Here is a 26,616-nt window from a genome sequence, read left to right on the forward strand (position 1 = left end):
GCCTTGGCCTCCCAAAGTGCTGGGATTACAGGCGTGAGCCACAGCACCCTGCCCTTTTTTTTGAGAAATAAGTCTCACTGTGTCACCCAGGCTGGAGTAGAGTGACACAATTTTGGGTAACTGCAGCTTCCACCTCCCAGGTTCAAGTGATTCTCCTGCCTCAGCCTCCCGAGTAGCTGGGACTACAGGCGCCCACCACTACGCCCGGCTAATTTTTTTGTGTTTTTAGTTGAGACGGGGTTTCACTGTGTTAGCCAGGATGGTCTTGATCTCATGACCTTGTGATCTGCCTGCCTTGGCCTCCCAAAGGGTTGGGATTACAGGCGTGAGCCACAGCACCTTTTTTTTTCTGTTTTGAGAGAAAGTCTCGCTGTGTCACCCAGACTGGAGTGCAGTGGCACAATTTTGGGTAACTGCAGCCTCCGTCTCCTGGGTACAAGTGATTCTCCTGCCTCAGCCTCCCGAGTAGCTGGGATTATAGGCGTGCGCCACCACACCTGGCTAACTTTTGTATTTTTAGTAGCGACAGGGTTTTGCCATGTTGGCCAGGCTGGTCTTGAACTCCTGACCTAAAGTATCTGCCCACCAGCCTCCCAAAGTGCTGGAATTATAGTCATGAGCCACCGTGCCCGGCCAAAAATCTCCAGTTTACCCTTCCTTTGTGAAATCTGTTGAGTACCCAAATGCAGCCACTCATGTCAAACCCTAACAAAATCGACCCCAGAGCCCACGAGGAGGGGGTGGCCTCGCACTTGCGCTTGATAGGAGCTGCCACAAAGGCCTTTCCCAACCAGAACTTTGGGTCCAGCCACTTCTGTGAAGAGCCTCTTTGCTAGCAATAGCCAGCCCCACCGGTGAACAAAGTAGCATGAACACCAGAGGTCCACAAGGAAGAAAACAAAGCAGTCCATATTTAACATTTATTTTACTTTGCTGAGCAAGAATCATAGACAGCTACTACCACGGCTGCTTCGTTTGGACAAAAATAACCAGGAGGCATCCACGGGATTAGTTACACGGTATCAACTTACCACCACAGCAGAATCAACAGTGACTCGCTAATTAACAGAACCGTTTGCTAGAAAGCACTAATCTAGTTATATAAATACTGAAATAGGTCACATGCAAAACACTATAAACGTTTTGTGTGATGTACTTTTAGTTCTCCATAGTTTTGTTTGGTATAAAGGAAATATAATTTGGCTGTGACGTAGACTGTTGATGTAATTTTCAAGTTTTCCTGTATGGGGAAAGTTGCCCTGACTGTGGCCCTTTTCAAGGTGGAGCCTCCAACACCACGTTGGCAGATTCAGACTCCGTGAACAGTCTAAATGAGCAAGTCAGCTGAATGCCACTTTCAGATGGAAGGGAAATGAGATGGAAAACAACAAAAAAGGACTGCCAGGCGGAACAGTTTCCAACCGAGTTTTCGTTGAGTGAGGATCCAGCAGCCATCAAACTCAAACATAGGGGCCCGCAGGGAAACTGGAGGAAATACTTCAGAGACAGCAAAGCTGAAGGTTTCTGTGCTCTGAGGGATCCGAGAGTGGATGTCCCACTCCTGTATCCTCAGCCAGACACAGAACTAGCCAGATTCATTAGGGAAGCTCAGATGCTCTCATTCTATAAAGTAAGGCCCCCAGCAGGGCACGTACATACATTGGGAAAGAAGAAACCCCTTAGTACCATGTTGGTCAAAGGCAAGAGAGAGAATTCTATTTCCATCTGGAATGTCATTCTTGTTTACTTCTTCCAACAGTGAAATACTTCCAGGCCTTCGAAAGGCCATCCTTTGGACACATGTAAAAAGCTGTCTTGTTGGCCCGTTATTCCCACTGACCCGTCTGAGTGATCACCCAGGAGCGCGGCGGCAGCAAGCAGAGCTCACCGGATTTGGGACAAGGATTTTAAAGGCAGCTACAAAGCTGAGCTCTATTTGCTGATGATAGTCTCTGTTCAGCTGTTTAAAATGACTGTCTGACTCACCATGGTAATTTTTCACAAATTAAAAACACATTTTGGGTTGTGCAACAGTGTTCTCATCTTTCCAGGCAGGCAGATTATTTTAATGCTGTTATACAGGGAATTGGGACTCTCGGATTTTCTTTTTTAACCTTTTTATGCCTTTCAGTAGGGGAAGTTTCCTTGAAAGTTAGAGAGCTGCAAATCTCTAAGTATCAATGTAAAGAAGCCGATGACCCAATTCGGAAGGTGGTTCAAGTGTTCTGTTTGTTTACAAAGGCACAGACCACGACCATGGACACACCCAGTGGAAGTAACCACACCCGGTGTGTTCCTAGAAGCTCATCTGTGACAGTTCAACAAGAACTTACTATTCTAGAAAAGTATTACACAAAGTTATTTAAAAAAATGTCTGTACAATCGTTAACACGGCCAAGCCAGGCCTTGGGTTTTGCCTCTTGGTGTCCAGCTGTGCTGGGAATGCCATGAAGACCAGCGGCTGGAAACTGACTTGGGCATGGAGAAGAGACTGAGGGAGAGGGAGGGGACAGCACGACTGAGCAAGGGCACAGTGCTGGCTGCCTCATGGGCTCCAGGCTCCTTCTGCCAGGATGAGGAAGAGGCCCCAGAGCAGCGTTACACAGGAAATCAACCTATTTGCTAATCCTTTGGAAAAACGTTTGTTTCTGGTCCACAAACAGAAAATCCAAACAGGATGGCAGCTCCTTGTGAGGGTGGAGGGGAGGGCACCAGATTCTGTGCGGCTGGAAATTCCAAGGTGCTCAGAACCAGGCGCCTGCACCTCTCCTTATGCCAGACCACAATCTTCAAAGAGGCCGGCAGCCATATTCTCGATGGGGAGGTGGACAAGGCCACCCTGGGAGTTGCTTTCAATCTGTCCTCACAAATCAACAACTCCCCGCCACCTCCAGAGCATTTTCTAATAGTGTTTGTTTTTGAGACGGAATCTTGCCCTGTTGCCCAGGCTGGAGTGCAATGGCACGATCTTGGCTCACTGCAACCTCCGCCTCTGGGGTTCAAACAATTCTCCTGCCTCAGCCTCCTGAGTAGCTGAGATTACAGGCACCCACCATCACACCCAGCTAATTTTTGTATTTTTGGTAGAGACAGGGTTTCATCATGTTGGCCAGGCTGGTCTCGAACTCCTGGCCTTGTGATCCGCCATCTGCAGCCTCCCAAAGTGCTGGGATTAGAGGCCTGAGCTACCGCAGCCGGTCTTCTATTAGTTTTTGAGGAAAGCAGAAAAAAAGAAATGGAAACCCAGGGAAAGTCACGTGACAAAACATCTTCGCAGCGCAGTGAGCACACACCTGGCCTGTCCTCCACACACAGGTCAGCGGTTTTATAGAAGCGGCTGAAGCAGGTGTAGTAGCCCACGCCTATATTCTCGACACTACAGGAGGCTGAGTGGGAAGGATTGCTTGAGCCGAGGAGTTCAAGACCAGCCTGGGCAACAAAGCGAGAGCCCAGCTCAACAAAAAAATAGCCAGGCATGGTGGCACGTGCCTGTGGTTCCAGCCACATGGGAGGCTGAGGTGGATCACTTGAGCCCAGGAAGTCGAGGCTGCAGTGAGCCAAGATCATGCCACTGTACTCCAGCCTGGGTGACAGACAGAGCAAGACTGTCTCAAAAAAATAAAAAGGTTACTTGTGGGTTAAAAAGCCTCACTTCGGTCCATCATCATGGCAGACTTTTTTGAGTAGGTAGAAGTTAATGAGTCAGAATTATTGCTCTGTTTCTGAACGATTTTATCTTCAGGAGGGGCTATTTTTGTATTTCCCAGGTGAGAAGCCAAATGGAAAACCAGTGAAGTGACCATGGGTGCCAAAGGCCTAAAGAGCAGGCAGGGAAATGAGACTCGGGACCACTGGAGCCCCATGCTGCCTCTGACAAGCCCTGGAGCTCTGGGTCTCAAAGGCTGGCTGGCAACAGGCTGCACCGGGCATGGGAATCCGCCGGCTGCGAGATTGGGGGTAAAGAGCTCAGACATGGTCAGAAGCCTCTGCCTAACACACGGCTCCAGTAGCCACTCCTCAGGCCTCCTGCGCCCTCGGGGGTGCGTGACACAGGAGGATGAGTTGAGCTGGCTGGTGGCCCCAGTGTGCCGTACTACTGTCCCTTGGGGAGAGTGGGACAGGGTGGGCGCCTGACACACACCACGCGCCCCAGAAACATTCAGTGTGGACGTTTCCTTTTTCAGCAAGGACGGCGCCCAGGTAAACGCCACGTAACCCAAACCATCAACACTGCAGCGTCCTGCCCAAGGCTCACGTGGGGAACCGGACAGGTGCTAGATGATGATAGGAACGGTGGGCTCTGAGGGAGGACAGACAGGCTCACCCCACGGGGACCTCAGAACAGCCTGCCTCATACTCAGAGTCCAAAAAAGAAAAGGAACGTACACATCTCCTCCCAAGTTAAACACGAGAGGTTTGTCCTCAACCTCAGGGCTGGAAACCACCACAGGTAGGAGGCTGGGCACGGGGGCTCGGCCTGTCATCCCAGCACTGTGGGAGGTCGGGTGCTAGAATCCCAGCACTGTGGGAGGCCAGGCACGGGGGCTCACGCCTGTAATCCCAGCACTATGGGAAGCTGGGCGTGGGGGCTCAGCCTGTAATCCCAGCACTGTAGGAGGCCGGGCGCCGTGGCGCATGCCTGTAATCCCAGCACTGTGGATGGCCGAGGCAGGCGGATCACGAGGTTAGGAGTTCGAGACCATCCTGGCTAACACGGTGAAATCCCATCTCTGTTAAAAATACAAATAACTAGCTGGGTGTGGTGGCGGGTGCCTGTAATCCCAGCTACTTGGAAGGCTGAGGCAGGACAATAGCTTGAACGCGGGAGGAGGAGGCTGCAGTGAGCTGAGATCTCACCACTCACTGCACTCCAGTTTGGGTGACAGAGCGAGACTCTGTCTCAAAAAAAAAAAAAAAAACAAGAACATCTCCCACACACTCACAGTGCCTTTGTAGCCCCAGGGAAAGCAATCCCTTAAGATCATTTGTTGGGTGAAAAGGGTACCAAGTACACAGTGTTAGGACCGTGCAAAAAAAGGGTGACAGGAAGTACCCTTTGCAAACTTTCCATAATGTGTACTTAATTCACTGCTCTTATAAAATGAAATTAAATAAAACAAAAAAATACTACTGAAAAATAATTGGGCAACATGCGGTGGCTCACGCCTGTAATCCCAGCACTTTGGGAGGCCAAGGCAGACGGATCACCTGAGGTCGGGAGTTCGAGACCAGCCTGGCCAAGATGATGAAACCCTGTCTCCACTAAAAATACAAAAATTAGCTGGGCATGGTGGCAGGCACCTGTAATCCCAGCTTCTCGGGAGACTGAGGCAGGAAAATGTCTTGAACCTGGGAGGTGGGGTTGCAGTGAGCCGAGATCGCGCCACTGCACTCCAGCCTGGGCAACAGCGTGAGACTCTGGCTCCAAAAAAAAAAAAAAAAAAAGGAAAAATAATTGGGCTGAGTGTGGTGGCTCATAATTGCAGTCCTAGCGCTTTGGGAGGCCAAGGTGGGTGGATCACTTGAGGCCAGGAGTTCAAGATCAGCCTGGACAACACAGCAAAATCCCATCTCTCAAAAAAAGTAAAATAAAATAAAATAACAAAAAACAAAAATTAGCCCAGCGTGGTGGTGGACACCTGTAGTCCCAGCTACTCAGGAGGCTGAGGCGAGAGGATCACTTGAGCAGGGAGGCGGAGGTTGCAGTGAGCTGAGATGGCACCACCACACTCCAGCCTGGGTCACAGAGCAAGACTCTGTCTCAAAAAAAAAAAAAAAGTTTTTTTTTTTTGAACCACTGCTAACAATCACTAATGTTCACTAAAACACTAGGCTTCAGGAGCATTTGGAAATAATTCCTGACCGCACAAAGAAACATGCTGGTGAGAGACAGTGACCAAGCCCAGGAGACCACCATGAGTTCCAGAAAAAGTGAGAGAGAGCGGCCACTTTTCCTGTCTCGGAGATACCTCCTACTCAGGACGCAGGAAGCATGGGGCAGGGCAGCGCCATGGACAAGGCGACTCGGTGCAGGGCCTGCGGGACCTGCAGGTGAGAGGAAGCACAAGCTCCAGCTCCTCAGCTGTGGAACGCTGCGTGCGTGGTGCACAGCTACCAGCTCGGATGGGTATTTGAGAATTTACCGCACTGACTTGGACCAGACGGAAAGCAGAGAAGAGGGAGAGCTACACCTGACTGTCCACCATTCCCGCCAGCCCCAACGTCGGCTTTTCACTTCATGTTTGGGGACAATTACACCTCCTCATGACAGATCAGAAGTTTCAGAAAAAAGGTCCGCTGATTTCCGCAACAGGGTATGAGGTGGCCAGCTGCTGATGCCAGCTGCATGGACTCCTATACTTGCTGGTAACATAACCTCATTCCTTTGTATTTGCCACCAAAAAGTCTCCAGTCTTTTTTTTTTTTTTTTTTTTTTTGAGACGGAGTCTCACTCTGTAGCCCAAGCTGGAGTGCAGTGGCACAATCTCGGCTCACTGCAACACCCGCCTCCCGGGCTGAAGTGATTCTGATGCCTCAGCCTCCCACGCAGCTGGGACTACAGGTGCATTTCACCAGGCCTGGCTAATTTTTTGTGTTTTAGTAAAGACAGGGTTGCCCATGTTGCCCAGGGTGGTCTCGAACCCCTGAGATCAGGCAATCTGCCTGCCTTGACCTCCAGTCCACCTGGCTAGTCTCCAGTCTTTAAATTGCACCTTTGGCCGGGTGCAGTGGCTTGCACCTGTCATCCCAGCACTGTGGGAGGCCGAGGCGGGCGGATCGCCTGAGGTCAGGAGTTTGAGACCAGCCTGGCCAACATGGTGAAACCCCGTCTCCACTAAAAATACAAAAATTAGCCGGGCATGGTGGCACGCGCCTGTAATCCCAGCTACTTGGGAGGCTGAGGCAGGAGAATCACTTCAACCCGGGAGGCGGAGGTTGCAGTGAGCCGAGATCAAACCAAAGAAATCCAGCTCTGGGTGACAGAGCAAGACTCTGTTTCGGGAAAAATAAAATACATAGGCAGGGCGCGGTGGCTCACGCCTGTAATCCCAGCACTTTGGGAGGCTGAGGCGGGCAGATCACAAGGTCAGGAGATCGAGACCATCCTGGCTAACACGGTGAAACCCAGTCTCTACTAAAAATACAAAAAAAAATTAGCCGGGCGTGGTGGCGGACGCCTGTAGTCCCAGCTACTCGGGAGGCAGAGGCAGGAGAATGGCGTGAACCCAGGAGACGGAGCTTGCAGTGAGCTGAGATGGCGCTACTGCACTCCAGCCTGGGCGACAGAGCAAGACTCCATCTCAAAAAATAAAATAAAATACATAAACAAATAAATTGCAGCTTCATTCAATCTGCCCAGTTACAGAAGTGGAAAGAAGCTGAAGGATCCTCCCCGTTTCTAGAGCTGCACCGCATGGCACAGGAAGCAGTGGCCACAGGTGTCTGTTCAAGTTCAAACTGACAGCAATCAGCTTGAATTCCGAATCTGGTTCTTGTTATATTCTCCACATTTCAAGGGCTCAGAAGCCGTATGTGGCCAGTGGCTCCTGCACTGGACAGCCCAGAAGAGACCATTCCATTCCTGCAGACAAAACTAGTCGCAGCACCCTGCTATTCTAGACAGAAAGCACTCAATTTCAAAAACCTTCAAACTCAGAGACTTCTAGTGGAGATTTCCCTAAATACCTATTTCACACAGTTTACGGTTTATTTTACAGTTTCTCATTTGTTTTTTTGTTTTATTTATTTTTTTTGAGAAGGACTCTCGCTCCCATCCCCCAGGCTGGAGTGCAGTGGTGAGATCTCGACTCACTGTAACCTCTGGCTCCTGGGTTCAAGTGATTCTCCTGCCTCAGCCTCCCGAGTAGCTGGGATTACAGGTGCCCAGCATCACACCCGGCTAATTTTTGTATTTTTAGTAGAGATGGGGTTTCACCATGTTGGCCAAGCTGGTCTTGAACTACTGACCTCAAGTGATCCACTTGCCTTGTCCTCTCAAGTGCTGGGATTACAGGCATGAGCCACTGGGCCCGGCCTATCGTTTGCATTTCAAACAGCATGGGTATAAAATAGCCTAGTAATTACACTGCATAGCCACAGTCATCCCCGTGGAAGAGAATCACATGTGTCCCTTATAAAAATACCTAGATTTCTGGTCTCCTTTGTAAACAACCTGGACACACTCAACTCTTGGGAAGTTCCTCTGCTCACCTGAAAGTCACCGGGGAGATTTTCCCCATGAGGGCGTACGCCGTGACGCTCTGAAGGTGGAACAGGACTCCGTCTGTCAGAAGCAGCAGCACCACGTCCTGGTTGTAGCTGAAGCTCTTCCCGCTCCTCCCGATCACTGGGACGTCCTATGTGGCAAACAAAAGGGTACTCTATTGGTTTCCATTTTCCATTTACTAATCATCCACCACGAACACCCAGCGCCACTCCTGCCCAGAAACTGGGTAAAGCTGCTGCCACTGAGGACAGCCCTGAAAATGCCTCGAGGGGACAGCTGAACTGTGCACTCATCCATTTTCTGTTTTTTGTTTGTTTTTATTATTTTTTGCACTAATTAATTTTCACCATGCAGATGCAAATGGACAACAAGCACATGAAAAAGGCTGAACATCACCATCATCAGGAAAATGCAACAGAAACCCCAATGCGGGGCCGGGCGTGGCCAGTCTGGCCAACACGGTAAAACCTCGTCTCTACTAAAAACATAAAAACTAACCAGGCATGGTGGTGGGCGCCTGTAATCCCAGCTACTCAGGAGGCTGAGGCAGGACAATCACTTGAACCCGGAGGCGGAGGTTGCAGTCAGCTGAGATGGCACCACTGTACCCCAGCCTGGGCGACAAGACAGAGACTTCTCTGGGCTGCCAGAGGCTCCGGAAGCCGGGTGCCTCAGGCCGTGGCAGTTCCGTCACTCTCCAACGCCTCCCCCACAGACTTCTTTTTGCTAAATGGTATCAAGATTTTCTCGTTGTTGTCAGCAAGAGAGTTGGTTTTCTAACATCTCATCGACCATGGCTGGAGGTCAAATCGATGTTTTAAACTTGCTGGAAATAAACGGTTCCTTTCTTGCATGGCTCGATGAGCAATAAGGTTCCTCTGTGTCATTTTGTTTACGATTTTTAGGATTGCTTTTTAAAGCCGGACACGGCGGCTGATGGCTGTAATCCCAGCACTTTAGGAGGCCGAGGCAGGAGGATCACTTGAGATAAGGAGTTCAGGACCAGCATGGGCAACACAGCGAGACCCCATCTCTATAGAAAACACAAAAATGAGGCTGGGGGTGCTCATACACGCACTGAGGGTTGACCCTGGTGTTCTTGCCTTCTTAGATTCTTCTGGAGCTGGAGATGAACTCGGACCTCAAGGCCCAGCTCAGGGAACTGATTATTACAGCAGCGAGGGAAACTGAAGTTGGTGGTGGTGAGAAAGTTATCATGGGCAGGTACAGCAGCTCACGCCTGGAATCCCAGCACTGTGGGGAGCTGAGGCGGGAAGATCACGAGGTCAGGAGCTCAAGACCAGCGTGGCCAACATGGTGAAACCCCGTCTCTACTAAAAATACAAAAATTAGCTGGGTGTGGTGGCACGTGCCTGTAATCCCAGCTACTCAGGGGGCCGAAGCAGGAGAATCGCTTGAACCCGGGAGGCAGAGGCTGCAGTGAGCCAAGATTGCGCCACTGCACTCCAGCCTGGGCAACAAAGCGAGACTCCATCTCAAAAAAAAAGAGGGCCGGCTGTGGTGGCTAACACCTGTAATCCCAGCACTTTGGGAGGCTGAGGCGGGCGGATCAACGAGGTCAGGAGATCGAGACCATCCTGGCTAACACAATGAAACCCAGTCTCTACTAAAAATACAAAAAATTAGCCGGATGTGGTGGTGGGCGCCTGTAGTCCCAACTACTCAGGAGGCTGAAGCAGGAGAATGGCGAGAACCCGGGAGATGGAGCTTGCAGTGAGCCGAGATCGCACCACTGCACTCCAGCCCGGGCGAGAGAGCAAGACTCCGTCTCAAAAAAAGAAAAAAAGAAAAAGGCCAGGCGCAATGGCTCACGTCTGTAATCCCAGCACTTAGGGAGGCCAAGGCGGGCAGATCACTTGAGGTCAGGAGTTCGAGAGCAGCCTGGCCAACAGGGTGAAACCCTGTCTCTACTAAAATACAACAGAATTAGCTGGGTGTGGTGGCAGACAGCTGTAGTGCCAGCTACTTGGGAGTCTGAGGCAGGAGAATCGTTTGCACCTGGGAGGCAGAGGTTGCAGTGAGCCAATACTGAGCCACTGAACTCCAGCCTGGGCGACAAGGCGACACTCTGTCTCAAAAAAAAAAAAAAAAAAGAAAGAAAGAAAGAAAAAAAAAAAAAAGGAAGTTATCATAATCTTTGTTCTTCTTCTGCCACTGAAATAATTCCAGAACATCCAAGTCTGGCTAGTACGTGAATTGGAGAAAAAGTTCACTGGTAAGTATGTCGTCTATTGCTTAGAGGAAAATTCTGCCTAAACCAACTCAAAAAAGGTGTACAAAAAATAAGCAAAAGCGTCCCAGGATCCACGCTCCGACAGCTGCGCACGTCGCAATCCTCGAGGACTCGGTCTTCCCAGGTGAAATTGTGGGCAGGAGAATCCGCGTGAAATGGACACAGCAGCTCACAAGGGTTCATTCGGACAAAGCCCAGCAGAACAACGTGGAACGCAAGGTCCAAACTTTTTCTGGTATCGATAAGAAGCTCACAGCCAAGGCTGTTAATTCTGAATCCCCAGAGTTCCCAGTTTCAATTGTTAAGAAAAATGACTAACGTATACTCACAGTGAAAAAACAAAAAGACACACAAAATACAAAAATTAGCTGGGCATGGTGGCACATGCCTGAGGTCCCAGCTACCCAACAGGCTGAGGTGGGAGGATTGCCTAAGCCTGGGAGGCCGAGGTTGCAGTGAGTCGTGACCTCGCCACTGCACTGCAGCCTGGGCGACAGAGCAAGACCCTGTCTCAAAAACATAAAAAAAACAAAAGAAAAAAAACAAAAAAAAACCAGAGTTGACTTTTAGGCTTTGATTTTGTTATAATCACCTAAACGTGTGTGCGGGTCTCAAGTGCATGTGGGGCAAGCCCAACCCCATCCTGGACCCTCGGCCTCCTCCCGTCCCCAAAGGCAGACAGACACTTCCCTCGGCCTTAAGATCTTGTCGTTTCTTAAATAAGCGAACACGTGTGCACCCCCACACTCCGTTCAAGATGCCGCGCTCTGTGGGCGCCTCTGCTCCTCGCTGGTTTTCATGCAGCCACACTGGGTACGCGACATGGGGCTGACATGTCACTGGAAATCGCCTGTGAGTCATTAAGAGGTGGGAGAGGCAGGAGCCTGGGTTGCAGCTGAGGTCAGGGGCTGGGGCCCAGGACAGGCCTGTGGTGGCGGGTGCTGGGGAGGCTGTGGGGTGCTGGCACAGGAGGGCCCACGGACCAGGGGCCACGGCCGCCTGTATGGTGCTGGCCGAAGGCGGCCCCCGCCCGTCCTCTTCGGATCAGTGATTGGCACCTGCAGTAATCTTGCTTGCCAGGAATCTGCCCAGCCCCCACCTGTCTCCCCACCCAGTTAGGGCCACGAGACACAACCCTGCCCTGACCTCCGCATGCCAGTGTGAGAACACCTGGCAGACGCCAGGCTCCAAGACACCCCCGCACATGTGACCGTGAGAGAAGTGAAGGCACTGCCAGTGTGGGCACCACTCTGAGTGGTCCTCGCGGCAGAGCCCCATGGCAGGCAGCAGAGACGGGCACCACGGATGGAGGCCTGGGATGGTGGGGCGCAGGCGGAGGGGTGGGGCCCAGGGGGCCTCACCTGTGTACTCCCCCAGAATCATCCGAGACATGATCACCGTGAAGATGGGGGCGGAGCTCTTCACCGTCTCAGCAAACGAAACCGCCACATTTTTCAGGCTGACCAAACCCAAAACCACAGTTGCAAACCTAAAAATGAGCCAAAAGCACCATCACCTTAGAACGAGTCTGTCTGCCTGCACCCACCGGGCAGGCTCTCCAAGGGGCTCGCTCGCTCGGTTGGCACGTCGGCCCCTCTCCGCCCACCTCCTCATCACCAACATGGTGCCTGGACCCGCTTCTGTGACGCTTTAGGTCGAGCCCCCAGGAAACGGCACTGCGTCCAATGGGAAGTGACTTCTGCCACCCCTTGAAAACGTCCCAGAGACAAGGAGGCACCCTGTCCTGAGACCACCAGCCCGGAAAGAAGCTGACTGAACACACGTGGCAGTGAGAGCCACGAAGCCACATTCATTTGGTGTCCTGAAATCTGGACAGCCCTGGTGCTTTTATAAAGTCTGCACTGAAAACTCACCAGCCAGCAGAGTCCCCGCTCTAGTAACGAGAGGGACTTTACATTTAAAGAAAAAGAGACACTCAACCAAAACCAGGAGATTCTTTACCTCATCAGACCCACAAACAGCATCGTCATAAGGAAGTTGGGTGGGTAGGAAAGCCGGGCCTTGTGCTGATATAAACAGCAAGGAACGAGGGTTTTCACACACCCGATAACCGTGGTGGACAGCATCTGCACCGCACCTGCGGGAGGGAGGGGGCCGAAGACAAGAGGGAGAATCACCCCTCCCGTGCCTGCAGTGGGCTCCACCCCCGGTCTCCCATCCTGACCTGGGCTCCCCCGGCCCTCCCGGGTGGTTGCTGGCTGCTCCCTGTGGGGTGGCAGGTGGCCGGCTTCCACCCTGCCCGAGCCGCCGCCTACCTAGCATGCTGGGCTCGCCTCCCAGCAGGGACAGGATGTACTTGTTGAGGAAGAGCGTGCAGAAGCTGAAGAAGAACCACAGCGTGAGGTAGAGCAGCGCCCGCGAGCTCCACACACCCAAGTCTGACTCGATGACCGTGGTCTCCGTGATGGTGACGGTCAGTACGTTCTCATCTGTGCCGCCGTCGCTCTTGGCAAAAACAATCTTCTCACTTCGGTGACCAAACAGAGAGCCCCAGCTGAGAGGCGACCTGCCTTTCGGCTTCTCTTCGGAGCCAGGAACCAGCTCTTCCAGTGCTGGGGTTTTCACCGAGGACGACATGCTGAAGCCACAGCCACGAACGATTTTACCTCCAGGCTGGGCAGCATGGGTCACCGTGACCGCCCGGGGGTGGGGCCGCAGCAGGGACTCCGGGCGCCAGGAACGAGGCCACCAGGGCCTCTCCCAGGCAAAGCGTAGAAGCAGACGCTAAAATATTAAGAAAAGGAAACACATCACCCGTTTTGAACATTTAATGTCCTCAAAGGTTTCAACCACCAATTTAAAATCACTTTGAAAATGCAATTGGGCCGGGCACGGTGGCTCACACCTGTAATCCCAGCACTTTGGGAGGCCGAGGCAGGTGGATCACCTTAGGTCAGGAGTTCGAGACCACCCTGGCCAACATGACGAAACCCCGTCTCTACTAAAAATATAAAAACTAGCAGGGCATGGTGGCCGGCGCCTGTAATCCCAGCTACTCGGGAGGCTGAGGCAGAAGAATTGCTTGAACCCAGGAGACGGAGGTTGCAGTGAGCCGACATGATACCACTGCACTCCAGCCTCAGTGACAGAGTGAGACTCTGTCTCAAGAAAAGAAAAAAAGAAAATGCAATCGTTCACTGTCCAAAGATTTTTAGCAATTGAATCCCGTTTTTCTCTGCGCGTGTTGGCGGATCCTTGCTCTTGAGAGACGGTCTCCTGGCACACTTGACTGTCGTCCTGGCAGACCTGGGGCTGTGGGTCCTTCACGCCCTGCCTGGCAGCTGCACCTTCTCGATGGGCTTTGTGGCTGCCGCTGCCGGGTGCCCAGGACTAATTCCATGCTACTTTCTTTTTTTTTGAGACGGGAGTCTCGCTGTGTCGCCTAGCCTGAAGTACAGTGGCGCGATCTCGGCTCACTGCAAGCTCCGCCTCGCGGGTTCTCGCCAATCTCCTGCCTCAGGCTCCTGAGTAGCTGGGACTACAGGTGCCCGTCACCACGCCCGGCTAATTTTTTGTATTTTTAGTAGAGACGGGGTTTCACAGTGCTAGCCAGGATGATCTCGATCTCCTGACCTCATGATCCGACCTCCTTGGACTCCCAAAGTGCTGGGATTACAGGCGTGAGCCTCCGTGCCTGGTCTTTTATTTTTTTGAGACAGAGTCTCTGTCGCCCAGGCTGGAGTGCAATGGCGCAATCTCAGCTCACTGCAACCTCTACCTCCCGGGTTCAAGTGATTCTCCTGCCTCAGCCTCCTGAGTAGCTGGGATTACAGGCACCCGCCACCATGCCCAGTGAATTTTTGTATTTTTATTTCATTTTTTAGATGGAGTTTCACTCTTGTTGCCCAGGCTGCAGTGCAATGGCACGATCTTGGCTCACCACAACCTCCGCCTCCCAGGTTCAAGCGATTCTCCTGCCTCAGCCTCCCAGGTAGTGGGGATTACATGCACGTGCCACCAAACCCTGCTGATTTTGTATTTTTAGTAGAGACGGGTTTTCGCCATGTTGGCCAGGCTGGTCTCGAACTCCTGACCTCGTGATCTGCCCACCTCGGCTTCCCAAAGTGCTGGGATTTACAGGCATCAGCCACTGTGCCCAGCCTCCCTTTTCTTTTTTTTTTTTGGCTGACTCATGGGTTAGAATTCTGGATTGGGCAAACACATAAACATTTTGTACATGACGAGAGCCAGATTTCATCATGTGAGTGAAGCGAGATGCAAACACGAAAGGAAGTCCTTCAAGGCAGCCTTGTAGTGAAAAAATAAAAATAAAAATGAAAAAAAGAGGCTGGGCACGGTGACTCACGCCTGTGATCCCAGCACTTCGGGAGGCTGAGGTGGGCGGATCACAAGGTCAGGACATCGAGATCCTCCTGGCCAACACAGTCAAACCCCATTTCTACTACAAAAAATTAGCCGGGCATGATGGCGCGTGCCTGTAATCCCAGCTACTCAGGAGGCTGAGCCAGGAGAATCGCTTGAACCCAGGAGGCGGAGGCTGCAGTGAGCAGAGATCGCGCCATTGCACTCCAGCCTGGGCGGCAGAGCGAAACTCTGTCCCAGAAAAAAATAAAGCTTAGAAACAAGAGGCTATGTAGTCTCGAGATAGATCCAGCCCTATGAGGCACATGTCAATCACAGAGGGAAAGCTATGCACGCACAAAGCATGTGTGAATCAGAGAGAAAGCTATGCACGCACGATGAGTAGAAGACAAACACGTCCTGCAAGGAGACGGAGGCGCAGGGAGGGGGTGGCAGCCGTCCTCCCAAGACATGAGGACTTCTAGTTCAGTCTGAGACCTTGGTGCAGGGCTGGGCGAGTAAACAAATGCAAAAGAATAAGGACCTCGAGGTCGGGCGCGGTGGCTCAAGCCTGTAATCCCAGCACTTTGGGAGGCCGAGGTGGGCGCATCACGAGGTCAGGAGATTGAGACCATCCTGGCTAACACAGTGAAACCCCGTCTCTACCAAAAATACAAAAAAATTAGCTGGGCGTGGTGGCGGGCACCTGTAGTCCCAGCTACTCGGGACGCTGAGGCTGAGACAGGAGAATGGCGTGAACCCAGGAGGCGGAGCTTTCAGTGAGCCAACATCGCGCCTTTGCACTCCACCCTGGGCGACTGAGCAAGACCCTCTCTCAAAAAAAAAAAAAAAAAAGCAAAACAGAATAAACATACGTAGGCCAGGTGCAGTAGCTCACGCCTGTAATCCCAGCACTTTGGGAGGCAGAGGCGGGCGTATCACCTGAGGTCAGGAGTTTGAGACCAGCCTTGCCAAGATGGCGAAATCCTACTAAATACAAAAATTAGCTGGACATGGTGGTGGGTGCCAGTAGTCCTAAGTACACAGGAGGCTGAGGCACGAGGATCGCTTGAACCTGGGAGACGGAGGCTTTAGTAAGCTGAGATTGCACCACTGCACTCCAACCTGGGTGACAGAGCGAGACTGTCTTAAAAAAAAAAAAAAAAACAAACAGGTCTGGTGTACGCAGAATGGAGGCACCACGAATTGCTGAAGAAGGAAACTTTATTCAGTCTATGATACCAGGACAGTTGTCCATGCTGCCAGGCAAAAAGAAAAACTGGATTCTGATCTCATTATCAGTAGACAAACAGCGACAATTAGTAACACTGACACAGCCCTGACTGTGCTGCTGGAGGGTCCGAAGCACTCTCTGCACAGCGGTGAATCCGCACAACAGCCCTCTGGGGAAGGTGCTGTTATCACCCACGTGAGACACACGAAGGAAAGACACGGCTTCGCAGCAGCAGCGTCATGATTCGAACCCAGGCGGCCTGCTCTTATGATAAACTTAAATGTGTAAAACTTTATGCTCAGGAAAATATAAGAGAATGTCTTCCTGACCCTTTTTGGGGTAGGACAATAATTTCTCTAACCAAACCCCAAAAGCATGACCCATTAAAAAAAGGGTCAGGTGGACTAACTTGGCTAAATGAAGAATTCTGTTTCACCAAAGTACACTACAAAGTGGGCCAGGCGCAGTGGCTCATGCCTGTAATCCTAGCACTTTGGGAGGCCAAGGTGGGCGGATCACTTGAGGTCGGGAGCTCGAGACCAGCCTGACCAACATGGTGAAACCCTGTTTCTACTAAAAATACAAAAATTAACCAGGTGTGGTGGTATGCACCTATAATCCTGGCTACTTGGGAGGCTGAGGCAGGAGAATTGCTTGAACCCAGGACGGGGAGGTTGCAGTGAGCCCAGACTGCGCCGCTGCACTCCAGCCTGGGCAACAGGGCGAGACTCTGTCTTAAGAAAAAAAAAGGCCAGACTTGTCTCACGCCTGTAATCCCAGCACTTTGGGAGGCTGAGGTGGGCGGATCACCCGAGGTTGAGAGTTCCAGATCAGTCTGACCAACGTGGAGAAACCCCATCTCTACTAAAAATACAAAATTAGCCAGGCATGGTGGCACATGCCTTTAACCCCAGCTGCTCAGGAGGCTGAGGCAGGAGAATCACTTGAACAGGGGAGGCAGAGGTTGTGGTAAGCCAAGATTGTGCCATTGCACTCCAGCCTGGGCAACAAGAGCAAAACTCTGTCTCAAAAAAAAAAAAGAAAAAAAATATATATATATATATACATATACACACACACACACATACCACAAAGTGAAATGAACAGCCACAACCTGGCAAAAGATACTTGCAACATGACAAAGGATTAATAACCAGAAAGTATAAAGAATTCCTACAAACCAATTAGAAAAACAGGCAAAAAAAAAAAAATATTGGCGGGGCATGGTGGCTCATGCTTGTAATCCCAGCACTTTGGGAGGCCAAGGCGGGCAGATCACCTGAGGTCAGGAGTTCGAGACCAGCCTGGCCAACATGATGAAACTCCGTCTCTACCAAAAATACAAAAATTAGCCAGGCGTGGTGGCAGGCGCCTGTAATCCCAGCCACGCAGGAGGCTGAGGCAGCAGAATCACTTGAACCTGGGAGGCGGAGGTTGCAGTGAGCTGAGACTGCGCCTGCTCCAGCCTGGGTGACACAGCAAGACTCCGTCTCAAAAAGAAAAGAAAAAAAAAAAACAAAACAACATATTTCACAGAGAAGAATTTATGTTTTTGGAGAAGGAGTTTCGCTCCTGTCGCCCAGGCTGGAGTGCAGTGGTGAGATATCAGCTCACTGCAACCTCAACCTCCCAGGTTCAAGCGATTCACAGAGGACAATTTCTAAAAGGCAAATAAGAAGCAGGAAGGGTGCATGCTCCTTCTCTACTGCCCTGTAACAGTCATTCCACACTTACCACCTCAAAACAACAAATGCTTTTGATGTTGGCTCCTGTGGGGCAGCAATCTGCGGGAAGCTTAGCCAGGCACCTCTGGCTTAAGGTCCCTCCTGAAGCTGCAGTCACACCATGGACCAGGGCTGTGACCTCATCCGAAGGCTCAACTGGGGCTGAGGCCCACCTCTGAGCTCACTCAGGTGGACGCTGGCTGGGTTCAGTTCCTTGCTGGCTATAGGTGGAAAGGGCCCCCACCAGTTTCTTGCCAGCTTCTCCACAGGACGCCCCACAGCCTGACAGGAGCTTTCATCCAGCAAGCTCATCAGGGAGTGGGAGAGAGCAGCCAGGACAGGAGCCCAGGCCTTTCTGAACCTCATCTCAGAAGTGACATCCTTCCCTTCTGCTGTCTGGGCACAGCTCCCCGGGTGGAGCCCGAGGACTAGAAGGAAAAGAAAACTTGGATTTAAAATGGGATAAAGCCATAGGAGCTGCTCGTCCCACCACAGGAATCTCAACGCCGGGTTACTGACAAAGCGTCACTTTGCACCTCGTCCAACTGTGCAGACCTCTCCTAGCCAGGCCCCTGCACCAGAGGTTAAGAATCCGTGCCCCTGGTCAGGAAGTCCAGGTGGGTTCAAACGGCCAGCAGGGAATTTCAGGCAAAATGTGTCCCAAATCTTCAAACCACGCCCCAGAACTCAGACCTCCCCCTGGGAGTTCGTCCCAAGGAAACCACCTGCAAGAGGCTCAGGCTGCAGGGGACACTCCGCTTCCAAAACCCGGAAGCTGGAGACCACACAAGTGCCCAACGCCAAAGGCACCCCGTGGAGGGACGCCCTGTGCCCTCCCCCGACCAGGTGACCCGCTGCGCCCTACACATCTTCACCAGGAAACATCTGTTATCGATGTGGACGAAGCGCAGCCTGCACTCCCAGATCCGCTCATTTTCGTTCTGCCCTCCGTTTTACGATTCGCCTACACTGAAAATGCGTGAGTGGAGTGGAAAGCCTTCCTACTCCTGCCTCAGCGACCCCTTCTAAAATACTGCCTCGTTTGGCCTGAAAATGTGATTTGCAGGCTTCCTGAGCAAAGTAGATTTCACTCCATTAAAGAAAAAAAAAAAGAAAAGGCACCGAACGGGGCTCGGCTGTCGGGAGTTTTGCTTTAGTTTTTTGCGTGTTTTGTTTTGTGTTTTTTTGTTGTTGTTGTTCTTTTTGCGGCCACGCACACCGCGTTCCCAGGCTTCAGGGCGTGGGGGTCGCCGTGGACTCCCGGACGTGAAAACGCTTAAAGCCAGCTGGGAAAACCCCACCAGCGTTTTCCGCGCACAGCGCCAGCCATAGGAAAGGACCCCCAGGAGCGAATCCGGGCAGGGAAACCCCGGACGCCCGCACACTCAGCATCAGTACCGGCACCCAGCACCCAGCACCGAGCACCGAGCACGCAGCACCAAGCACCGATCACCGAGCAGAGCACCCCGCACGCAGAACCCACCGAGAGCCTGATGCAGTCTCCGCCGCAGGCATAGCGCTAGGCCCCGGCGCCTTCACAACAAAGGGACGCTGGCGGGCGGGGCCTAAGAGGTGCGCGGTGGAGGGGCCGGGCGCGAGGCCGCGGAGACAGCTCGGAGCTCGGCACTGGGGAGTGGCACAGCGCTGGCGGATCCAGGTGGGCTTCACGGGGCGCCCGCGGGACCGGAAATGACGCGCAGAACCCTGCATCGGGCTCCTCGCTGCCCCGCGGGCGCCGCTCCTCAGTGCCCCAGAGCCACGGAGCCGGGGAAACGCGCCGCGGCCCACAACGCCCCCGCGGCTGCCCGTTGGTTCCGCCCGAGCCGTTCTACTCCAGGCAGACGGGAGGAGAAACACGGCGCGCTCAGCGTCCCCTGCCCCGTTGGTTCTGCTCGGGCCCTTCCACTGCAGGCCGACGGGGGTGGAAACACGCAGTTTTTTTTTTTTTTTTTTTTAAGGTCTAGGGTAACACGGGGCTTTTAAGTGCCTCTCCGCGGCCGCCTGGTGGTCCAGCCCGGGCCGCTGCAGTGCAGCCACACGGGGAGGGACACGGCGCGCCGAGTGCTCCGGGCGGCCGCACGTTGGTTCCGCCCGGGCCGTTCCACTGCAGGCAGAGGGAGAGGACGACGGTGCGCGTAGTGCATCCCCGTGGCCCGTTGGTTCCGCCGGGGCCGTTCCACTGAAGGCAGAAGGGGGGGGAACCGTGGCCCCACCCCCCGCGGCAGCCCGTTGGTTCCGCCCGGGCTGTTCCACCAGCGGCACTTCAGGGCGGGATCGGCCAGTCTGTGGAGGCAGCGGCCTCTAAGCCCCGGAGGGTTTACTGCCCAGGTTTGGGTTCCAGGAATAAGAAATCCACTGAATAGGCTTAACTTAGAAGACACAAAGGCGCCTCCTGGCGGAAGTGGCCACGCTCCGCCCAGCCTGAGGGAAAGCTGCTCTGACAGCTGGGCCCGGAGCTGCGGGGGGCGGGGCCGCCGCGCGGGGTGAGGACTCGCCTCAGGGCGCTGATTGGCTGGTGGCGCGCTCCGGGGCGGGGCCTTCGTATCCAGGCTGGCGTCGGGGCTGCCGCGGGACATCCGGAGCAGACACCCGCGGGCGCGCCTGCGGCCCCGAGGACCCCCGGCTCCGGAGCTTCGTCGAGCGTTTTCCTAGCGTTACTTTCCCAAATAATTTTCAGGAATGAAGTTACGGCTAAAGGGCTCTTTAGAGATTACTTTTGGGCCGGGCCCGGTGGCTCACGCCTGTAATCTCAACACTTTGGGAGGCCGAGGCCGGCGCATCACGAGGTCAGGAGCTTGAGACCAGCCTGGTATGGCCAACGTGGTAAAACGTCGTCTCTACTAAAAATACAAAAATTGGCCGGGCGTGGTGGCGGGCGCCTGTAATCCCAGCTACTCCGGAGGCTGAGGAAGGAGGATCACCTGAACCCGGGAGGCGGAGGTTGCAGTGAGCCGAGATGGCGCCACTGCACTCCAGCCTGGCGACAGAGTGAGACTCCGTCAAAAAAAAAAAAAAAGGAAGAAAGAAAATTATAAAATGAAGTGAAATTAACGCAGTGGAGTGCCACCTGCCTGCTGCCTGAGTTCACTATCCACACGGAGTTCATAAATTTGAGAGCAGTTTACAAAGTAGATTCTCCTACTTTCCAGGAAACCCAGAAATGTCTGGTGATTTGCCCAACAGTCTCAGCTGTTGTGGTCAGCAGGGCCGCTGTGGTATCCAAATGATTTCAAAAGCAGATTTATAAAAAGTACTCCTTGTTTTTTTTTGAGATGGAATTTCGCTCTCATCGCCCAGGTTGGAGTGCAGTGGCACGATCTCAGCTCACTGCAACCTCCGCCTCCCGGGTTCAAGTGATTCTCCTGCCTCAGCCTCCTGAGTAGCTGGGATTACAGATGTGTGCCCTCACGCCCAGCTAATTTTTATATTTTTAGTAGAGACAGGGTTTCACCATATTGGCCAAGATGTTCTCCATCTCCTGACCTTGTGATCTGCCCGCTTCAGCCTCCCAAAGTGCTGGGATTACAGGCGTGAGCTACCCCACGCCCGGCCTTTATTTTTTTTTGAGACGGAGTCTCACTCTGTCGCCCAGGCTGGAGTGCAGTGGCGCGATCTCGGCTCACTGCAAGCTCCACCTCCCAGGTTCAAGAGATTCTTCTGCCTCAGCCTCCCGAGGAGTTGGGATCACAGGCACCCGCCACCATGCCCAGCTAATTGTTTTGTATTTTTAGTAGAGACGGGGTTTCACCGTTGTTAGCCAGGATGCTCTTGAACTCCTGACCTCATGATCCACCCACCTTGGCCTCCCAAAGTGCTGGGATTACAGGTGTGAGCCACCACGCCTGGCCTCTCAAAGTTTTTATAGCAAAGCCTTACATTTCATGAGGAACCATGCATTTTATTTTATTTTTGAGATGGGGGATCTCGCTACTTTGCCCAGGCTGGGCTCAAACTCAGGGCTCTCTGGCCTCAGCCTCCCGAGTAGCTGGGTCTGCAGGTGGCTGTCACCGTGCTGGGCCTGGGGTGTGCGTATTAATGATTTTGGAATAGTGTCTGGAAGCCTGTGTGCCTTCCTCTCTTCCTCTCCCCAGAAGGACCTCCCACCTCGTCCTCCCAAAGTGTTGGGATTACAGGTGTGAGCCACCATGTCCCCTCTCTTTGCTATTTTGCCTGGGAGGAGTGTATTAATAATTTTAATTTTAAATTTCTTTGATTATGTTCTAGTTTGATTATTGATCATTTACTTCTTAGCTATTTATATTCTTCCTTGAGTCATCGGTTTCTGCCCTTTGACAATTTTTCTGTGAATGTTTTGTGTTGATTATATGAGCTTTGACTGTATTGAGAACATCCACGCATTGTATTATTGCAACTGTTTTCCTAGTTGAGAACATCGACCTGCTGTATTATTGCAAATGTTTTCCTGCTTGCATGTAGTCATTTGTTATGCATATTAATGAATTTCTATCCACATGACGTGGAGTCAGTTAGGAATCAGTTAGGACGCCCTCGCTGTGTGGGAGACTGATGGGTCCAGGCGCTGTGCAAACCCCGCCTCCAAAGTGCATCCTTGGCTCACTGGGACCTTCCGGGTTGTGCTGCTCTTGCTTCACAGCCTCTCTGGGTCTCCCTGCCGTCTGCTGACCTCGGGGCAGGGTCTACCCAGGCTGAGCGGCCCATGGGCTGTGGGATTCCTTTCCTCTGCCTTCAGGTCCTGGATGATGTAGAAGGCAGGAAGGAAAGCAGTCATGGCTAGCTCTGTCCTGCCCCCTTCGGGGTCCCCCCCGGCCCACAGGCTCCTCCTTGTCCCCCAGCCAGCCTCAGTCTGGGTCTGGGCTCCCGCTGGGGAGGAGGGTGAGACCTGCCGGCCCAAAGGAGCTGAAGTTTCCCAAGGGGCGTTGAGGACAGCAGGGAAGTGTGGGGTGTGAACTGAGGCCCCAGAGAAGGGTCTGTGCCAAGGCCCCATGGGTGGGGAGGAAGAAGGAAGCGTCCCCACCTGGAGACCCAGCCTGCAGGCCACTCGGCCACCTGCGCAGAAGTAGGGGAGCAGCAGCCGCTCATGCCCCTGCAGTTTGTCCTCATCAGCAGGTGGGGAAACTGAGGCCGGGGAGTTCTCCAGGCCAAGGTCACTCACGGGCAAGTTCCCGCAGCCTTTGGACCCTCCATACACGTCAGGGCCGCTCATGCTTTCCTGGGCCCTTCACTGGTTTGGAGGAAGCTTCCTGTTGCCCAGAGCGCACTGCCTGTCTCTGAGTGTATGTGTCTCAGTGGCGTCCATGTGTATTTTTCTCTGTGTGTATCTGTGTGAGTCTGTGTGTGTGGTGTGTTTGTGTCTGAGTGTGTGGTGTTAGCGTGTCTCAGTGGCGTCCATGCATATTTTTCTGTGTGGTGTGTCTGTTTGTGTGTGTGTGAATCTACGTGGGTGTTTGTCCATCTTTTTGTCTGGCCTCCTGTCCCCTCTGCACAGAGCAGCTGGGTGGGGATGCTGGTCCTGGGGGCTTGTCAGCAGGATGTGGGCGTGGGGCAGCCCTGGGTGAGGCCTGAGTACAGGCCCCAGGTGCCTCCTGCACAGGGGTGGCTGAGCCAGCTCCTCTGTGGCTCCCGGGTCCCCACCGCCGGTCACTGGGCACCACCTGTCCTGGCCACCCACTCCTGCCCACCCTGCTCTCCGCAGGGGCCTCCTTCCTCTTTCAGCTGTGCGCCCTGGTTGTGGAGGCTCCTAAGGAGGTTGTGGCCTCGGTTTACCACCTGCCTTGGCTCCTTGGTGTTGCCAGACCCTGAAGGCAGCCCATGCCCTGGCTGAGATCCTTCTGGGGCGGGATGTGCTGGAAGCAGCTGAACCACGTGGTGATGTACCAGCTCCTGCTGTCCCCTACATCCCCAGCACCGCCAGCCTTCCCTGGGCTCCTCCGGCCGGCTCCTCTACCCTGTACCCGCCCCACCCTGCTACCACCCCCCAACCAGACTTCCAGCTCCAGGCAGGGTCGCAGCCTCCTGGGCTCCCAGCAGGACAGGCCTCACCCAGACCCCGCAGGAGCCATGGGACTTGGGCTGGGTCTTTGGGCCTGGCTGCAGCCCCTTTGGACCTGACCTGAGGAGACACCCTGGCTGTGGGAGGCAGGGTGGGGGTGCCGGGCCCAGCACAGAGGTGCCCAGGGTGCAGGCTGGCACTGGCCCGGCAGGGACCGTGGATGCCGCCGTTTCAGGCTCGAAAAGGTTTCCATGCCCCAGAGCCTGAGCCCGGCAGCCCCCGAGGATGTCTTGGGGACTCTGTGCTCCCCAAAGCCGAGAAGGTTAGGCTTGACCCACAGCCTCTTCCAGGCCGGGGAGGCAGAGGCGCTCCAGGTCGGTAGGGCGGGGCCCACAGCCCAGGGTTTCACGTCCCCAAAACGGGGCAGGGTGCTGGAGGCGCAGGTGTCCACAGGGTGGTCGTTTTGGTCTCTCCTGGACTTGCACGCGTGTAGTGCAGACTGGCTGCCGGCAAAGCCCTGAGCCACATTCATCTGGGCCTTGTTAGGACAACAGGGACGGTGCGGGGTGGGGGGGTTGCGGGGCGCAGGACCACGTCAGTGGAGGGAGGGAGGCCGATATCGGTGCCCAGGCTGGGCCCAGGGGCCAGCGGGTCCTCACCTGGCTTGTGGCTGCCCCTGTTAGGCAGCCCGGATGGAGGGGCTCTTCCAGCCCTGCTGGCCCCGGGAATGCAGGGACTCAATTCCCCCTGGTCTCAGTGGCTCTTCCGGGAGCAACACAGCCTGCCCGAGTCGACACCACCCCTCGGGTTTGAGTCCCTTCTGTCTACCCCTACCCCCGCCAGGGCACTGCCCCCTTGCCCGGAAGAGGCAGCGGCACCCCCAGCCCCTTGGGGAGGATGCCCTGCCGGCCCCACACTCGGTGGATGGGCATTTTGGGGCTAGGATTTAATGGGGGTGACCCTGCCCGACCCCTCTATGTTGGTTCCACGGCGTCAGAAGAAAGCTGTTATTAACCCAGCTTATTTTCTACAAGTCTTGTTTATTGAAAGGATCTGAAAAGCGTAATAAGGCTTTCAATGACATTTAATACATTTTCAAGAAATTAATATGAAACATTAAAATTTACTTCAAAAATCCAAAGTTTTCTAGATCATTCCCATCTCACGCTGCTTTAGAGGTCAGTTCACACCTTCTGTGTTCAGATGAGCGGCTGGAATTCTGAACACTGCCGTCTTCCAGCCCTAACGCTGGGCGCTGGTCCCTCTCTCCTAAGCCCACGGCTGGGCTTCCCCTGTGCCCAGGGTCATGGCGGACTTCAAGCCAGGCCGGCTGCCCAGAATCACACTCAGGGTTTTTGGACGCTCAAGTCCACAGATGCTGAGGTGCCCAGACGAGGGTGAGCAGGGAGACACATGCCTCGGAGAACGTGCCCAGGCTGGGCCAGGCGGCTGCGGGAAGCTCCTCACGGGCAGAGGAGAACGTCTTGTGCCTTCCTTATCGATCTCCAGCAGATGAGGGCAACTTCGTGTGCAAAACTCAGAGAGCAGTTACTCAAAAAAAAGACACCCGGGCAGCAGTAACCAGGACACCAGGGTCCGACCACGGCCTCCACACACCTGTGCCCGTGGAAGACGCGGGCGCCGGGGTAGGCAGCATCCACGTGCTCCACAGCTGCCGGTGCTGGGCAGGCTGGAGACTCACGGGAGAGGCAGGAGGAGAATCAGCGTGTTGAGTCCCTCGCTGTGTTAGTGTGAAAAATTCTCATTACAGTTGCAAATAAAAGGGATCACGATCACTAGCCCCGGAAACCCTCATCTCCCGGACCATCAGGATCGCACTGAACAGAATGGTCCCCTAATGGTCCCTGAGGACAGCGTCTTGCAGAACATAAATGTAAACATTGAATGGCAGACGACTCCCTTCCCCTTGAAATCTTCACAAAAGTGTGTACGAGAAAGTATGTACATCAGCACTTCAGAAAGTTTAAAAGAGTCTCTAAAAAGTATATACAGGATTTAAACTACCTTCCTGGGAGCAGAAGCTACGTGAGGAATGTGTGGGTCGCTGGCGATGCCAGCCCCCTTCCCGCTGAGTGTCCCAGACTCAGTGCTGGCCTCAAGCGGGGAGGGCTGGATGGCAGGGGACGCATCCAACCCTCTCCAGAAACTGAGCAGAACAAAACCGCCTTGCCAGCCACTGGCAAGACCATGCTTTCAATGGCGCCTCCGCCAGGGGCTTCCCTGCAGAAGTTTTAGGGGAAGAGGTGCAGGTCAAGGGGAAAAGCATGGCAGCTCAAGGAAGGTTTTTGGCTGAGACATTTATTATCAACATTGAAGGACAGGTCGAGTCATTCTGACTCCTCTGAATTTCAACCGACTGATTTGCGGAAAAATATCCTGGCATGGAAATTGCGGCAGCTGGAGGCCGCGCTCCAGGGACCCACCGCGGGGTGTCAGCAGGACAGAAGCACTCCCAGCCCATTTCTCACGCTTCTTTAGAAATGCAAAAAAAGTCAGACATTTTAAAAAAACAGCTGATCTGGACAAAAGGCAGACCCAGGCTCTAACCCAGCTACAGAAAGGAAGTGGCCGTGCCACTGAGACAGGCGGTCACAGACACACGCAGATTGGTCTGTCCCCAGAGGGCGCTTGGAGGGCAGCGGAAGGATTCGGGCCTGGATAGGGGCTTGACCTAGCCCTCCTCCTCCTCCTCCTCCTCCTCCTCGAAGTGGGCTTGCTTCTTCCGGACGTTCCAATGCAGGCACTGGGCGAGGCTCTCAAACCAGTCGCTCACGGGGTCCCGCACACAGATGGAGGGGAGCGGGTAGCATGAGGTAGTGATGCTGATGCTGGGACGGGAGAGCAGCAGCCTGAGCCAGGGCT

General features: G+C 53.7%; 1 protein-coding gene, 1 long non-coding RNA gene and 2 pseudogenes across 15 annotated transcripts in view, besides 2 other annotated features; 2 read left to right on the forward strand and 2 right to left on the reverse strand.

Moving 5' to 3' along the window:
- Nucleotides 907–19,592, reverse strand: SLC35E2A (solute carrier family 35 member E2A (pseudogene); annotated as a pseudogene). Of its 2 annotated transcripts, none has more exons than NR_173244.1 (6): nucleotides 19,246–19,592; nucleotides 12,758–13,226; nucleotides 12,444–12,579; nucleotides 11,843–11,970; nucleotides 8,212–8,357; nucleotides 907–6,045 (listed from the first exon to the last, which is right to left on the reverse strand). The product of NR_173244.1 is annotated as a solute carrier family 35 member E2A (pseudogene), transcript variant 1 (transcript). The 2 variants fall into 2 exon arrangements; NR_173245.1 differs by lacking the exon at nucleotides 907–6,045 and adding an exon at nucleotides 17,773–18,190 and having other exon boundaries at nucleotides 6,438–8,357.
- Nucleotides 2,821–3,321: an enhancer, noted in NCBI's record as "H3K4me1 hESC enhancer chr1:1660738-1661238 (GRCh37/hg19 assembly coordinates)". NCBI's record gives its function as "activates a minimal SCP1, AML or CMV promoter by ChIP-STARR-seq in naive H9 embryonic stem cells {active_cell/tissue: H9 hESC(naive)}" and the evidence as "EXISTENCE:reporter gene assay evidence [ECO:0000049][PMID:30033119]".
- LOC100129381 (ribosomal protein S7 pseudogene) lies at nucleotides 9,341–10,813 on the forward strand (annotated as a pseudogene).
- Nucleotides 19,341–25,264, forward strand: LOC112268218 (uncharacterized). The gene is made up of 2 exons (XR_002958243.2): nucleotides 19,341–19,419; nucleotides 23,437–25,264. It is a non-coding gene; the product is annotated as an uncharacterized LOC112268218 (long non-coding RNA).
- Nucleotides 19,824–19,873: a silencer, noted in NCBI's record as "silent region_89". NCBI's record gives its function as "represses an Ori minimal core promoter by ATAC-STARR-seq in GM12878 lymphoblastoid cells {active_cell/tissue: GM12878}" and the evidence as "EXISTENCE:reporter gene assay evidence [ECO:0000049][PMID:35858748]".
- Nucleotides 24,754–26,616, reverse strand: part of NADK (NAD kinase) — a 29,283-nt gene continuing 27,420 nt past the window's right edge. For all 12 annotated transcript variants that reach the window (XR_946747.3, XM_047428631.1, XM_011542009.3 and 9 more), the window contains one exon: nucleotides 24,754–26,582. Coding sequence is in view for 11 of the 12 variants with exons in the window: in XM_047428631.1 (XP_047284587.1) it covers nucleotides 26,426–26,582 (157 nt within the window). In the remaining variant the exon portion in view is untranslated. The remainder of the gene's footprint in view (nucleotides 26,583–26,616) is intronic.

Source organism: Homo sapiens, chromosome 1, assembly GCF_000001405.40.
Source record: "Homo sapiens chromosome 1, GRCh38.p14 Primary Assembly".
NCBI lineage: Eukaryota > Metazoa > Chordata > Mammalia > Primates > Hominidae > Homo > Homo sapiens.